The sequence below is a fragment of the Homo sapiens genome, chromosome 2 (assembly GCF_000001405.40).
Source record: "Homo sapiens chromosome 2, GRCh38.p14 Primary Assembly".
Lineage (NCBI taxonomy): Eukaryota > Metazoa > Chordata > Mammalia > Primates > Hominidae > Homo > Homo sapiens.
The window spans coordinates 27,765,669-27,780,340 of NC_000002.12; the positions used below are offsets into that span (position 1 = coordinate 27,765,669).

General features: G+C 43.6%; 1 protein-coding gene across 2 annotated transcripts, besides 4 other annotated features; it reads left to right on the forward strand.

Annotated features, from left to right (window-relative positions):
- Window positions 2,080–2,280: a silencer, noted in NCBI's record as "peak3636 fragment used in MPRA reporter construct". NCBI's record gives its function as "represses an SCP1 promoter by STARR-seq MPRAs in K562 erythroleukemia cells {active_cell/tissue: K562}" and the evidence as "EXISTENCE:reporter gene assay evidence [ECO:0000049][PMID:32103011]".
- Window positions 5,693–5,812: an enhancer, noted in NCBI's record as "active region_15512". NCBI's record gives its function as "activates an Ori minimal core promoter by ATAC-STARR-seq in GM12878 lymphoblastoid cells {active_cell/tissue: GM12878}" and the evidence as "EXISTENCE:reporter gene assay evidence [ECO:0000049][PMID:35858748]".
- Window positions 6,046–6,862: an enhancer, noted in NCBI's record as "H3K27ac hESC enhancer chr2:27994581-27995397 (GRCh37/hg19 assembly coordinates)". NCBI's record gives its function as "activates a minimal SCP1, AML or CMV promoter by ChIP-STARR-seq in naive H9 embryonic stem cells {active_cell/tissue: H9 hESC(naive)}" and the evidence as "EXISTENCE:reporter gene assay evidence [ECO:0000049][PMID:30033119]".
- MRPL33 (mitochondrial ribosomal protein L33) lies at window positions 6,051–14,065 on the forward strand. 2 transcript variants are annotated; one of them, NM_004891.4, is made up of 4 exons: window positions 6,051–6,131; window positions 7,006–7,024; window positions 8,756–8,862; window positions 13,765–14,065. In NM_004891.4, exons 1-4 carry the CDS (start codon window positions 6,110–6,112, stop codon window positions 13,812–13,814), a joined length of 198 nt encoding a protein of 65 aa, NP_004882.1. In that variant the 5' UTR covers window positions 6,051–6,109; the 3' UTR covers window positions 13,815–14,065. The 2 variants fall into 2 exon arrangements, with proteins under 2 accessions (NP_004882.1, NP_663303.1); NM_145330.3 differs by lacking the exon at window positions 8,756–8,862.
- Window positions 6,103–6,232: an enhancer, noted in NCBI's record as "active region_15513". NCBI's record gives its function as "activates an Ori minimal core promoter by ATAC-STARR-seq in GM12878 lymphoblastoid cells {active_cell/tissue: GM12878}" and the evidence as "EXISTENCE:reporter gene assay evidence [ECO:0000049][PMID:35858748]".
- Window positions 14,066–14,672: the final 607 nt, after the last annotated feature.

A 14,672-nucleotide genomic window follows, 5' to 3' on the forward strand; every position in this document is an offset into this window, starting at 1 on the left:
TGACTCTCAAGGCACACGGAACATCAGGAGCACCGGTGAGCGTTATAAAGTGCCCCTAGCCGCCCCCATTCTCCACCCACTGAATCATGTTATCTGGCCATGGGCACCCCACGTGATTCTTACGGGTATCAGGTTTGAAAATATCAGAGTTTTAGGAGGACTAAAATCCTCCCAGGTTCCTGTGACATCGCAACGGAAAAAGCCTTAGGAATGATCTAGACGATCATCATCTGAGATTGTGGGCTCCTCCGAAGTTACCACACAAGTCCCAGATCAGAAACTGAGGCGGGGGCTTGCTCAGTGTCGCGTGGCTGGCAATCCGCGGCGGCCTCCGGCGCATGCGCAGTTCTTCTCTGCACGGCGGCCTTGCAGCCCCGCTTCCACCCACCGCAGGAATGCCTCTCCTTGACCGAGACACAAACCTTTTCCTCCTCCAGCCGACAGTTTCAGCCCATTACCTCTAAAACTGCACACCCTCACAGGTGGTGGACTCCCACAAATGCCACCCTCTCCCCACCCCTGTCACTGACCAATCAAGCCACACGTTTAACTGGTTGACTCTCCCCCAAAGACCGATGCTGTCAGCCTTTTGATGCTGTTTGCGGCTCCTCTTGGGGCAGGTGAGGTATGTGGGTGGGAAGGGTGTTGTCTGCTGGACTTCCATTCATCTTTCAGGAAGGCAATTAAGTTTCCTGCTTTGGGTCTTCTATTTCAGAACCTCTTCTTTTGGTGGGTTCTACAGCTTTCTGGAATGTATGTAAACACCTCCTCTCTGGGCTTACAACTTCAAGACTTCCTCATTCTTTCAAACTGGCCACTTTGTCCTCTCCCCTCCTTATCCAGATAGGTGCTGCTCACCAAGTGGAGTGAATTGAGCACACCTGGAACTTAAGAGTGTTTGACAGGGGGTTTAACCTGTCCGTGAATCCCAGTATTTTACAATCTTGGCATACGTTAGCATCTCCTGGGGAGTTTAGAAAACCCAAAGTCCAGACTACACTCATAAATTATTTTGATTTTTTTTTTTTAACAAAAATAGAGGCAGGATCTCACTATGTTGCCCAGGCTGCTCTTAAACACCTGGCCTCTAGAGAGCCTCCCACCTCAGCCTCCCAAAGTGCTGGGATTAGAGTTGTGAACTGCTGCACCTGGCCTGCACCCAGATAAATTAAATCAGAAACTCAGGGGGTAAGAAACAGGCATAAAGAGTTTATGGCCGGGTGCACTGGCTCATGCCTATAATCCCAGCACTTTGGGAGGCTGAGGTGGGTGGATCGCTTGAGGTCAGGAGTTTGAGACTAGCCTGGACAACATGGCAAAACCCCCATTTCTACTAAAAAATAGAAAAATGAGCTGGGTGTGGTGGTGCGTGCCTGTAATCCCAGCACTTTGGGAGGCCGAAGCAGGCAGATCACTTGAGGTCAGAAGTTTGAGACCAGCCTGGCCAACATGGTGAAACCCCATCTCTACTAAAATTACCAAAAAAAAAAAAAAAAAAAAAAATTAGCCAGGCATAGTGGCATGTACCTGTAATCCCAGCTACTCGGGAGGCTGAGGCAGAAGAATCGCTTGGACTCAGGAGGCAGAGGTTACAGTGAGCTGAGATGCGCCACTGTACTCCCACCTGAGTGACAGAGTAAAACTCTGTCTCAAAAAAAAAGTTTATAAAATTCCCTAGGTGATCCCATTGTACAGCCAATGTTGAGGCCCCCCAGAAAGTGCAGGTAAAATTGTTTGTGGATGGGCATAAGTGCATTTTCTTCTGGAAAAGCTAAGCCATACCTCTCAGCAGATTCTCAAGAGGTGTACAACACCCTCCTCCTTTCTTCTTCAAAAAAGGCTAAGTGACAAAACATAAGGAAGAAGAACTTGCCAATTGTTAAGGAAACACCAAATACATGTGTTAACTAAATAAATAGGCATGAGCATGCAGATCAAGAAAAGTGTCTATTGTTCTCAAGGGGACCTTTGGGGGGCCTTTGGGTGGGATGGGAAAGTCACTGCCACTCTCCCAACTAAGTGGGAAAATGGCTGATTTCAGGTGCTGCCACTGCAGAAATCTTACTTAACTCTTGAGCCTTCCTGCTGCCCACAGAACTAAGCCTGACTCCCAGCTAGAACACTGGTTCTTTCATTGCCTAGCCCCAGCCATCCTTTCTAGCTCACCTCCCTCACTTCACCCCACACTCTAGCCCCAAGAGGATGCTCAATGTGCATTTTTTAGATGCCTTTTTTTTAGGTGCCTTCCCCCAGTTCCTTCCACTCTGCCTGTCTCAGGTTGACTTGGGAGGAAGTGGGACTGAAGGGAGAGAAAATAACTCAAGGCACAGTCCCTTAGTAGAGAAGGTTCGGTCTGTATTTGTCAAAAACGTGAGTGGGATAGCAACCTTCCGTTAGTGCTCCTGCTTGGGGGAGTGGGGGAGATTCAGAAGACCTGGTCCTTGAGGGACTTAGGTCCCATAATAGGAGGCAGACCTGTGATCCAAGGCATGCAGGGAAGCTTAATGGATGCTCTGAGAGGAATCTGTGGAGGGAAGATGTGGGGTGGAATGGGGAATGCAGGGTGAGGAAAGGCTTCATCCCTAAAGAGATTGGCACCCAGCAGCCTCAGTGAAGAGAGATGGGACTGAATTAGGAGGGTGAGGCCAGATGATAGAGGCCATTGAATGCCAACTGGAGGACACCCACTACACACAGGTTGAACCCAGTTGGTGGCCCCAGCTTCACTCGTCTTGCTCCCTCAGGTAGTCTTTGCTATAATGCTAAGCCATTGAGTCTGAGGGCCTGATTTTGAAGCTGTCCCATCTGCCTGTGGTGTCTGAGCTTGTAAAGGTACCAGCTCTTTTCAGGAAGCCCCAGCTTTCTCCTGTAGCGTCTTTCTCCTTCCACTGCCCATGTTCCCAGGCCCCTGGGACAGGTCAGGGAGCCAGGATCACTGATTCTGTAGGCAAGAACAGTGGCTGTACTTCCCAATCACAAGTCAAGCAAGATGTAGGTGTGACAATGGGCTGGATGATGGGCAGCCAGGGGTCTGCCAGCACAGCAGAGGAGGAGGGGTACAGCTTCTAGATCCTCGGGTTTGAATCCCATCACTAAGTGCTGGGAATACAGTGTCTACCAACCCAATACAGATGCTGTGTATGGAGCCCTGACCCAGAGCAGATGTTCTCTTCCTCTATCTGCTTCTCCGGGCTGAGAATCTAGGTTAAACAGCTTGATCTTCTCCTCCCTGTAGCACCCCACCTCCCAAAGAGGGTGCCCCTTCTCTAAGGACTACACTTTTTCCATTTGGGCTGCCAGGATGCTCTAATTGTTATGCACTTTCCTCTAATAAGGCATAGAGGGCTCATTATGTAAATTCAAGGAAAAAAGCCCCAAATCATGAATTACATCTGTATTATAATAAACATTTTAATTAACACTTACCAACTGCCAGCTATATTAGGTATAAATAACAGGTGGATGCAACATGAACTCCTGAGGCTAGAGAGTCACTGCCTCCAGCCTACTCCTTCAAGAATTTCAAGAAATAGTTCATATGCTATCTCTTTTCTTCCTCTCCCCTCTCCCCTCTCCTCTCTTGACATGGAGACTCCCTCTGTTGCCCACGCTGGGGTGCAGTGCTGCTACCTTGGCTCAATGCAACCTCTGCCTCCCAGGTTCAAGCAATTCTCCTGCCTCTGCATCCTGAGTAGCTGGAATTACAGGCGCCCACATCTGGCTAATTTTTTTTTTTAAGTTATTTTTGAGACGGAGTCTTGCTCAGTCGCCCAGCCTGGAGTGCAGTGGTGCGATCTTGGCTCACTGCAGGCTACACCTCCCAGGTTCACGCCATTCTCCTGCCTCAGCCTCCCGAGTAGCTGGGACTACAGGCACCCGCCACCACACCCGGCTAATTTTTTTTTTTTTTTTTTTTTGTATTTTTAGTAGAGATGGGGTTTCACCATGTTAGCCAGGATGGTCTCAATTTCCTGACCTCGTGATTCACCTGCCTCGGCCTCCCAAAGTGCTGGGATTACAGGTGTGAGCCACCGCGCCCGGCCAGTTGTGTTATTTTTTAGTAGAGATGGGGTTTCGCCATGTTGGCCAGGCTGGTCTCAAACTCCTGACCTCAGGTGATCTACCCTCGTCGGCCTCCCAAAATACTGGGATTGCAGGAGTGACCCACTGCACCTGGCTCTTTTCAAAAGCAAGCTTATACATTCTCCTGGATCCTGAAACTATTGACAATACTTAAAGTTAGTTTTTTTTTTTTTGCTATTTAAACATAAATATTGACATTTGTATGGTGCCTCTCACCTCAGATTCATTCATTCAATAGATATTTAATAGATGTAGCAGGCATTGTTGTAGGAACCAGGGATACAGCAGTGAGGGAATAAGCTGAAGTTCTTTTTTTTAATTAAAAAAATTTTTTTAGAGACAGGGTTTTGCTGTTGCCCAGCATTCTGGTAGCCAAAGACAATAGGGAAATCAACAAGTACACAAGTAATACTATTAATGGCAATAAGTGCTGTAGGAAAACATAAAGAAGAGTAAGGAGAATAGAGTTGGGGGCAGGGGCATGGAGTTTAAGAACTGCTATTTGGCTGGGCTAAAGTTAAAGTGACTTTCTAAGGGACAGAACAAGGACTAGAAATCATGTTCCTTGGCTTCCAGTCTTGTGTTTTCTTATAAATCCTCTAAAGGAAATATAAGAAACCTTATCCTCTTGAACATCTGAAGCTCTTTTTTGCCAATGCAAGGTAAGGAAGGATTTCGGCACCTGGAAGGTACTCAGTAGCTGGAGTCCGGTTATGGGAAGATAAATATCAAGAATGATTAGAAGGAAAAAAAGTATTATAGGTACTAAGGAGAAGGACGGTCTTAATTTAAAAAATTGAATTGTATTGTATGGAGAGCTGATTTTTTTCCTCCTCATCTTCTTTGTGATGGCACAGAGAGCTGAATTTTCTTTAAAACAGTTTTATTACTTTTTTTTTTTTTTTTTTTTGAGACGGAGTCTCACTTTGTCGCCCAGGCTGGAGTGCAGTGGCGCTATCTCGGCTCACTGCAACCTCCGCCTCCCGGGTTCAGCTAATTTTTGTATTTTTAGTACAGGCGGGATTCCGCGACGTTGGCCAGGCTGGTCTCAAACTCGTGACCTCAAGTGATCTGCCTGCCTCAGCCTCCCAAAGGGCTGGGATTACAGGCGTGAGCCATGCGATTAAATCTTATTTCACATCTGTAAGACTTCATATGTAGATACAAATCACGGATTAGGAAAAAAATCCAAAAGTCCTGATTATTAGTTGCGAAATGAGGTTACTGACGAGGTCCTTGGTGTTAGAGGAGCCCAGGTTCCTTACAGAGCCATGAAAAATTAATGATTGCAAACTGGTAGGTCCCAATGTCTACTGGGAAAGGCATGAGTCTTTGGAGTCAGATAAAATCTAGGTTTAAATTCTTACTCTGCCACCTGGTAGTTCTGTGATATTAGGCACGTGATGTGAATGCTCTCAATCTGTTATTTGGCTTCTATGTCAGGAACTGTGCTAGGTGTTTGGATACAGAAGTTTGAGATGCAAAGGGTCCTGCCCTCCTAGAGATTGGGATAACTAAGGAAAGGTGGGGTTCTTAATGCCGAAGGGACTCAGAAGAGTGAGAGTAAGGCTTAACCAGGCGGAGAGGGAGTTGGGTCGGGGGAGGCAACATTTTAAGAAAATATGCGAGGGGCTGATACGCTGGAGCGGCCGAAGTACAATACACAGTTGTTCTTGTGGGTCTAATGCAGGTGGTTGCGATTATTTCGTGAAACAAATATGGAAAGCACCTAACGCTGAAAGCACTTGACCCAGAAATAGGAGTCAGGGCCGGGGCGCGAACCCTGAGCTGTAAATCCCTTTCCAGAATGATGAGGATTCCAACCTCCAGCACGACAAAAGCAAAACACACTCGCTCTGAGAAACCGAGGAACGAGCCAGACGACTGGAGGCAGGTTCCAGGCGGGGGGCGTGGCCTCGGGCGACTGCCGGATGTCCTCTTCCAGAACCGGGCCGTGCCCCGGAAGCAGTTGTTGTTGGTTGGGGGCCTTTTGGCCGGTGACGGAGACTGCCCAGGTGTGGTCACCATGTTCCTCTCCGCGGTCTTCTGTAAGTGGGGCTGGAGACGCCGGTAGGGGTTACGGCGAGGGTTAGGGGGCCGTGACAGGCAGGGCCCCGGAATGATGCGGGGAAGGATGTGCGAACAGGACGGGAAGCTGCAGCTGCGTACTTTTCCAGGCCTTCAGGACCACAGCGTCCGGCATGCCCCGCGGCGCGCCTCCCTGCGCGGACCTGTGGGTGCCTGAGAAGGGGTCTGCGGTGTCTGGATTCAATTGCCGTCCTCACGGACCGTTGAGTCTGGCTGTGGGGCGTTTTTCTCCAGCCCGTGTTAGGAGAATCTTTGTCCGAAGGACCTCAGAATTTGCAGCCCACCTATTTCGAACTCTAAAAATAAGGAAACCGCTCCCGAGAGGGGCAATGAATTGCCTGAGTAATGCGGCAGGGCAGTTAAAGAAGTCCTCGGGCTCCCGAGTCAGTGCTCTTCTTTACCCTTGGCTGACTTCCCAGTTAGATTTAGTATCTGGTTTTCACCACATGTGATGGTTGTTGTAATTTGCAAAGGTTAAACTTGTCAAACAAGAAGCTTGCTGCAGCGCGAATACTTGCACCTTAGAAGAGGGAAAAAATGGAGCAGGTATTACTTTAGAAAGATTTAAAAGGTAGCCAGTCCAACAGTCATGAAATTATGCAAAATATTAAATCTAGAATTGTGTTGGTCTGATTGGATCTTTTAACCTTCCTTCTATAAAATCCTAAGGGGATCCCTAATAGATAGGGAATAGTTACTTGAGTGACACCTCATGGCATATTTCATAAGTTAAATATTTTTGGTTATTACTGATATTTATATGAACTTTGCATAAGAAAGAGAATACATTTATATTTTTATTTTCTTTTCCAACCCTTCCTGTCTACAAAAAAGTTGCCAAGAGCAAGTCAAAGTAAGTAAAGATTTTTCCTTTTTTAAACGTCACTTGTTTATGTTGGATTTGTTAGTCTAGCTGCTCCCAGTACATCCTTATATGAAATTAAGCATTGGGCCTTGATTTCCTAAGAGTTGGTTTGTGGATTACTTAGTTGATTATTTTTTCTTTATGAACTCTTTCAAAAATATTTTCCCTCCTGCTGAACTGAGCTACTTCTGTGAGCATTGAAATACTTGAAGGAACCTTTGCTGCTTTTCTAGTCCCAGGATTTGTGAGCTCACTGTCTGTTTCTAAACAAACCATTGGGCTGTGCTGTATTTGGACTACCACCATATTTCCATTTCCTCAAATCGAGGACCAGGGGCCATGTGTCTGGAGCTCACTACGGGAATCCAGAAGAACAAACTCTGCTTTGATTAAATCATAGTCTGTTTTAATGAGTTTTGTAATCCTTTGCATTCATGGTATAAGCATTTCAAAAATAGCCAAGATTAAAGATTCCATGCTGTACCAGAGAGACTAGAACTACCAAACTTGTATTTCAAAATAAATGTTGTAGACAATAACAGAAGATTTTGTGGTAAAAATAGGGAGGTTCTAAAGCAGCTTTTCCTTGCAACTCAAGACATTGAAAATCCTTAAAGCTAGTCTTTTGGATTAACGTTAATGAAAAACATGTATGTTAGCGCTTTCCCTCCCAGTATCTTTCAGTGATTCACGTAGCTTTCGCCACAGTCCAGTTATTTATGTCAAAATTCCCTGCCCCAGGGATCTATAGGAATCTCTTGCCTTTGGTTTCTGTAGAGGTATATTCTGACTCTCGTTCTTTCTACCCTTGTGACATATTTCATATATGTCTTGCCTGATTGACCTCATGTACCAACTCACCTTCCATACAGTACTGTTAGCTCCTAGAGGACATAGACATAGACTTGTAGAGCTTTGTATTTCCCAGAGTGCCTTCCACAGAGTAAGTGCTTAATATTTGTTGAATCTGTGTTGAATAATTATTGTCTATCTTAATTACAAACAAATACTGTATGCCTCTTATGAGGCACTGTGCTGAATGTTGAAAGCAATGCAGTGGTGTGTAATATAGTCTTAGATGCTTCCAGGTTGTTTTGGAATTACATGAGAAATAAAATAACATGGTCTACATGGGGAGACAAGACACATGAAAAAATAACAAACAGTACAGGTATTAAAAGATCTGGTGAGGCAAACATGGACTTTCTGCTTTGGATGAGTGGAACTTAAATGAAATATGAAGGGGCACAAGGTTTTGCGCATTAGCAAACTAAAAGCTTTAGTCTCTTTATTTTGTCCCTTCCTGAATATAATCATTTATGCCCTGGAAGAGAGGGCTGTTCTGAGACAGCGATCTTTACAATTTCCTCACTAGCCAGCTGTGGTTACCAGTATTTTGATATTTTCCCCTTCCTGACTTCTGCTCCTCGTGAAGGGTGGATGTCTGAGGCTAGTCCCGCAATGTGGCTTGATTGTTCTTATTGTTTTGGTTAGGTCATTGCGAAGTAACTCTGTGTAGTGGAGCAAATCCTAGAGATTTGAAACCATTGAAACTGTTTCATGGAAAACTTAGGCTGTCTTACAACTGAACCTTTTAGGGCCAAGTGATATCTCACAACTAATATTACCCTACAGAGTTCTCAAAATGTGCCATCCCCCTGTGACTGATTTTAGTTTATTTCGTCAGCTCGTACATAACAGCGTACTTTTTAATCTTAGAAACATTCTGGTGAGAATGGTGAGCGAAGCTGGGACAGGTTTCTGCTTCAACACCAAGAGAAACCGACTGCGGGAAAAACTGACTCTTTTGCATTATGATCCAGTTGGTAAGATCTGGGGAGGTTAATGCTTCCAAGGCCTGTTGCCCCCTTTGTAGGCTGAACATCTGAACTCTCTGGAGGTGTTTTTTTAGCCTCTGACACTAGCATTCATTTAGTAAATAGGTATTGAATGATTGTTATGATGCTATTTAACATCCCAGGTGCTGGGATACACCAGGACACAAGACAAGTCCCTGTACTCTTGGCACTTAGTCTAGTCTGAGAGGGGGAGAAAAGATGACAAATTATAAGTGCTGTGAGAGAAACAATCAGGATGCTGAGGTGTAGGATGAAGTTGGAGAGTGGTAGGGAAAGTCACATTAGATGGCTAAATCAGGGAAGGTCTCTCCAGGAGGAGATAGTTAACCGAGACCTGAAGGTGAGAAACCAGCTATGTAAAGAGAATAGGTGGTAGTGTTCTGGAAACAGACAAGTGTCTTAAGAAGGGGACGGTATGGTGTCCTGGCATCATCTGTTCGACAGTGGCTAGTATTTGGTTCCTGATAGAAGTTAAAGGAATATGGTTTCTATATATTAGTGCAGTGGGGGTAGGAAATTTGATTTTTCCATTTTGTGCCATCCACTAAAATGCTGTACTATATGGTAACTTTAAATGGTCTCATTAGATGGAAGTATTTATCTAGAAGAGACAAGTGTTCCTAAGGCCATATTATCTGCTCACAAACAAAAATAGAGTCAGCACCTGATTGCTGTTGGTGGATGCCTATCCTGTTTCTGGATTTTATGTGCAGATTTATGTAAAAATAGCAAACGTGTTTTTTAATTTTAGAGCTCTGGCTGTTCATTTTGTGCTCTTTATAATTAATTTTTTTTTTTTTTTTTTTGAGATGGAGTCTCACTTTGTCGCCCAGGCTGGAGTGCAGTGGTACAATTTCGGCTCACTGCAACCTCTGCCTCCTGGGTTCAAGTGATTCTCCTGCTTCAGCCTCCCAAGTAGCTGGGACTACAGGTGTGTGCCACCACACCCGGCTAACTTTTATATTTTTAGTAGAGATAGGGTTTCACCATGTTAGCCACGCTGGTCTTGAACTCCTGACCTCAGGTGATCCACCCACCTCAGCCTCCCAAAGTGCTGGGATTACAGGTGTGAGCCACCGCACCCGGCCATTGCTTCTTAACAAGATAATGGCTATAATAACATGAGCAGACATTTTTTAAAGGCTCCAAGAAGCACAGTTGTCAGCTTAAAGTTTCTTGTGTTCCATCCTTTAACAGAAATAAAATTCCTTGCTGTTTTTATGGTGTTCAAATTTCTGTTTATTCATTATCAGAGTGAAAAGGGAATTCTAGGTCTGTATCTGATGGTAAGGAGTCTGAATTTCAGGATGATTCCTCATATGGTGGAAAAATGATGAGGTTTGCTGTTGGATTGATAAGGTTTAGAATTGGATTGGTATGTTTTTCTCCCTCTGATTTCTTTGTGTCAGCTGGTGAAAAGTCAAAGGGGTGACTGAGTAACATTCTGTGATATTTTAAGTATGAAAAAATGTATTGGGCTTTTCATCTTTAGTATGGAGGTATTAGGAACTTAATAATTGTCAGTTTGATTTTAAGTTTTGAGATTGGGAAAGGATACAGCCATAAACAGTTCTGATCATAGTTCAAAGTGGGAGAAAAGATTCACGTATAAATTTCAAACAGACGCTTAGAATTTTTCTGATAAGGAACGGTCTTAGCTTTGACAGCACAACTTTGTCTTTTCTGAAGAAGAGAATGTTCTGGGATAGCAGACTGCCTGGCTTTCTGCCCACCTGCTGAATGCCCTGCACGTGTTCGTGATGAAGATGTTTGCCTCGGGGCCTGCCCCCATTGCCCAGGGTACCAAATAGCTTGGCAGTTCTCCCAGCATGTTTTACTGTGATGAGTAAATTGTTAAGTTTGAGGACGATGATTGTTGGTCTGCTTTATGAAGGAAATAGGTAAGGAAACGTGAAAAAATTCCCAATTATTTGAGCATTTCATAATATAGTCTGTGGCAAGAAGCAGCTGCATGTGCCTATCCTTTCGAATTCCTTTTCCACGTATAAAACTAGATGCTAATTTCCGAAGAGGAAGGATTAAAGGCTGAGGCATGAGCTTATTAAACTTTCTTAAATATATTGAAGGTTTATCATAAAGAGAATGAAAACTTGTCAGTTTTAATTCCTTGGATGACTAAACAAGACAATATAGACTGTAATTGAAGCAGAATCGATTTTGGTTAGATGTAGGGAGAGAACTTGACAGATTCATTCTTCTATGAATTAAGCAGCAAATATTTTGACAGAAAATTAATTCATGTTTACAATTGTGGGTAGCAGTGTGTCATTTCAACTCAGTGTTGAGTGCGCACTATGTGTCCAGCAACAACCTTGTGAGGGAGATAGTTATCTCTCCCACAGGGAAGAAAGCAGGATAGAGTACTTTGAGAAATTTTCCCAGGGATTCATAGCTGATAAATGGTGGAGCCAGAGTTGGAACCGAGTCTTTCTCACTCAAGTCCCTGTTCTTCTATGTATTTATTTATTTAATTTTTTAAAATAGAGATGGGGTCTGTGTTGTGCAGACTGGTCTCGAACTCCTGAGCTCAAGCAGTCCGCCCACCTTGGCTGCCCAGAGTGTTGGGATTACAGGCCTGAGCCATTGTGCTTAGCCCTTCTAATTTAAAAATAGGTTTTTGGTTTTTTTTGTACAGTGTCTTCTGTGTTGCCCAGGCTGGTCTGGAACTCCTGGCCTCTACTAATCCTCCTACCTCAGTCTCCCAAGTGCTGGGATTATGGGCATGAGCCACCATTCCTGGCCAAGTCCCTGTTCTGTCTCTTACATGGAGCCAAATTAATCTAAAACTTTTTTTTTTTTTTTTTTTTTAATCAAGACCCATCCCTGTGGTCAGGCCATGGATCCCCACTGAGACTCCTATCACCAATCCCTCTACTAAACCAGATGCCCATTCCTGGTTCATTTAATCCAAATGCTGATCTGTCTTCAGGGACCAAACTTGACACTTTCCATGAGGACTTCTGTCACCATTCCTGTCCCTTTCTGACCTTTAGGTTCCTCTGGGGTTTACTGGACATTTGTGTGGGCACCTCATGATGTACTGATGTATTAAATCAGGGAGTCTTCTTACACTTTTGTAAACTCTACATTGCCTAGCACAGTTCTATGGACTTAAATATTTTATTCTTTGAGTTAAAGGAATAGGTGCAGTGAATGAATCAAAGAATTCTACTCAATATAGCCTTGCTCTACTAACCTTAATCAGTTACTCCTAGTCAGGGTCATTTAAATAGTCTCCAGATTGCTTTTCAGTGAGACAACCCCCCTACCCCCCGCCTTTTTTTAAACCAAGTTTTTAGTTCCCTGTAGAAAACCATGGGGGAAATATTTCTTGTCGTAATATAGATGAGAAACTGTTTTGGTTCTTTACTACCATCTTGTAATGCATTAATGCATTGTAGTCCTCCTTGGAGTTTTAGGAGGATCAATCCTACTTACATTTCACATGATTTGAAGTATGTTAAAAAGATCCCTTATGTACAGTGTATTAATATCATAGATAAATTCTGTTGACAGGTTAATGATTCTTAAATTCAGCTGCCCATCAATTGAGTAGTTTTAAAAAATGTAGACTTCAGTCCAACTCTAGCCCTACTAAACCAGAATTAAGGTAGGAGTGGAGGTGAGAATGGACTTACTTAGATAAGCTCATTCTTAGTCGTAGATAGCTTGGGAATCTCATATGCAGAGTATCCATATTGACTGTAGAAGAAAAAAGCTAAAATGTCTGTATGATAGGGACAAGTGAGGAATTGTTAGGTCATAGTTGTTTAAGTTCCTGGATCTTCCTTGGGTGATTATTCCATTTCTGGTGTTTTCTTGTTTTTGTTTTAGCAAAGAGGAAATAGGTAGGGGTGTGTGTGTGTGTGGGTGTGTGGGTGTGTGTGTGAGAGAGATGGAAGTTAATCGAGTGCCATAAGGCATTATAGAAATATGAAAGCCTTACTGCTCAGCATCTAGTCTTCAATCTTTTCTTTTTTTTTTTTTGAGACGGAGTTTCACTCTTGTTGCCCAGGCTGGAGTGCAATGGTGCGATCTCGGCTCACTGCAACCTCTGCCTCCCGGGTTCAAGTGATTCTCCTGCGCCAGCCTCCCGCGTAGCTGGGATTACAGGCATGCACCACCATGCCTGGCTAATTTTGTATTTCTAGTGGAGATGGGGTTTCTCCATGTTAGCCAGGCTGGTCTTGAACTCCCAGCCTCAGGTGATATGACCACCTCGGTCTCCCAAAGTGCTGGGATTACAGGTGTGAGTCACTGCGCCCAGCTAGCCTTCAGTGTTTCATCCAGGCCGGTAGCACTTTGTTTCAGAGAACTGTACTCTAATATTTACAATAATGAGATTTTGGTTATGATATTAATTATAGTACCAAACTAAAAACTCCGTATTTGGGTGTATTAACCCATCTCTGGGAAGTAGAGGTTTAGTGTCTATTACTCTTCCAGACAGCGTGGTCCACTTGGTTCTTGCTGCTCTCTTTCTGGAGTCCAGCTCCCAGTCTGTCCTTGCTTACCTCCTACAAGAGTGGACATTAATTGGGTGAAAACATTGTTTTCCATTTTTGTCCCTAGTTTTCTTTCTTAATGTGAATATTTCTTCATTGGTTGAATATGACTTGTGGCATACCAAGGATGCTGCTGATTAGCTAGTGGCCCTATAGCCATTTTCTCCAGTCTGCCCTGGCTCCTGGGATGGAGGAACTGAGTTTGCAAATCAGCTCCATCTTCATATCAAGGAATAGTAAAATAAGAGAAAGGTGAGGGCTTATGGTCTGATATGTATTTTTTATAAAAATGGCGATGATACTTAATAATTTTCTGCCACAATTTTTTTTTCTCCCTCCATAGTGAAACAAAGAGTCCTCTTCGTGGAAAAGAAAAAAATACGCTCCCTTTAAACGGTGGATTGAAAATGACTTTGATTTATAAAGAGAAGACTGAGGGCGGGGATACTGATTCAGAAATCCTGTAGCGTGTAATAAAAGAAGAGGAAATGGCATGGAATCACTGCCTCCTGTGATTTGAAGGCCATTGTGAAGGAAAACAATGCAGTGAAAGAAAGTTCTTCATATTAGGACAGATATCATTGCATCACATTTATTTATCTTTCTGGGTATTTTTATAGCCCTTAATAAAAAATATTAAAATAGCCTGTGCTATTGTGTCTTAGTGATGTTTTTCCCCACTATTTGATGTTTTAAAAATCAACCACATTACTAAAAAATAACCATTGTTCCATGTAATAAATGTTTCCATAACAACACTTATGTAAGAGTTTCCAGCCTGCTCCCTCTGTACTCAGAGAAAAGGCAGAGTAACATTCCAGAGTGATCTTGAAGAAACTCCCATGTAATAACAGAGATGGCAAGGGGGACCAGGAATGACAAAAAGAGGAGCCTTGTAACACAAACCAAGAGAACCTCTATTTCTGATTTGTGCTTATATAATTAGGAAAAATGCCACAGGCCTATATTTTCAAACCCAGATCACCAAAGCAGTATCTAGGATTTTCTGGGACAGCTTTGGATTCCTTTATTCCCTAGATTTTTCTTTCCTTTTAAAATAAAAGAAGGTATAGTGTTTCAATAAAGCCACTGCTAAGACTTCTGGGGCATGGTGGTACCACACAGCTAACTAGCATGGAATTCTGGGAGCAATCCCTAATGTTCAGATACGGACCTCTCTCCTGCCCAGAGCCATACACTTTCTCACTCAGGCTGTTGTTTCCCACAAGTTTTGAAAATTGTCCAGTTTTC

Coding starts and splice junctions, on each gene's coding strand:
- MRPL33 (NM_004891.4), top strand. CDS start 6,110: ATGTTCCTCTCCGCGGTCTTCT. Junction 8,863..13,764: donor TTTGCATTATGATCCAGTTG/GTAAGATCTGGG, acceptor CTCCCTCCATAG/TGAAACAAAGAGTCCTCTTC.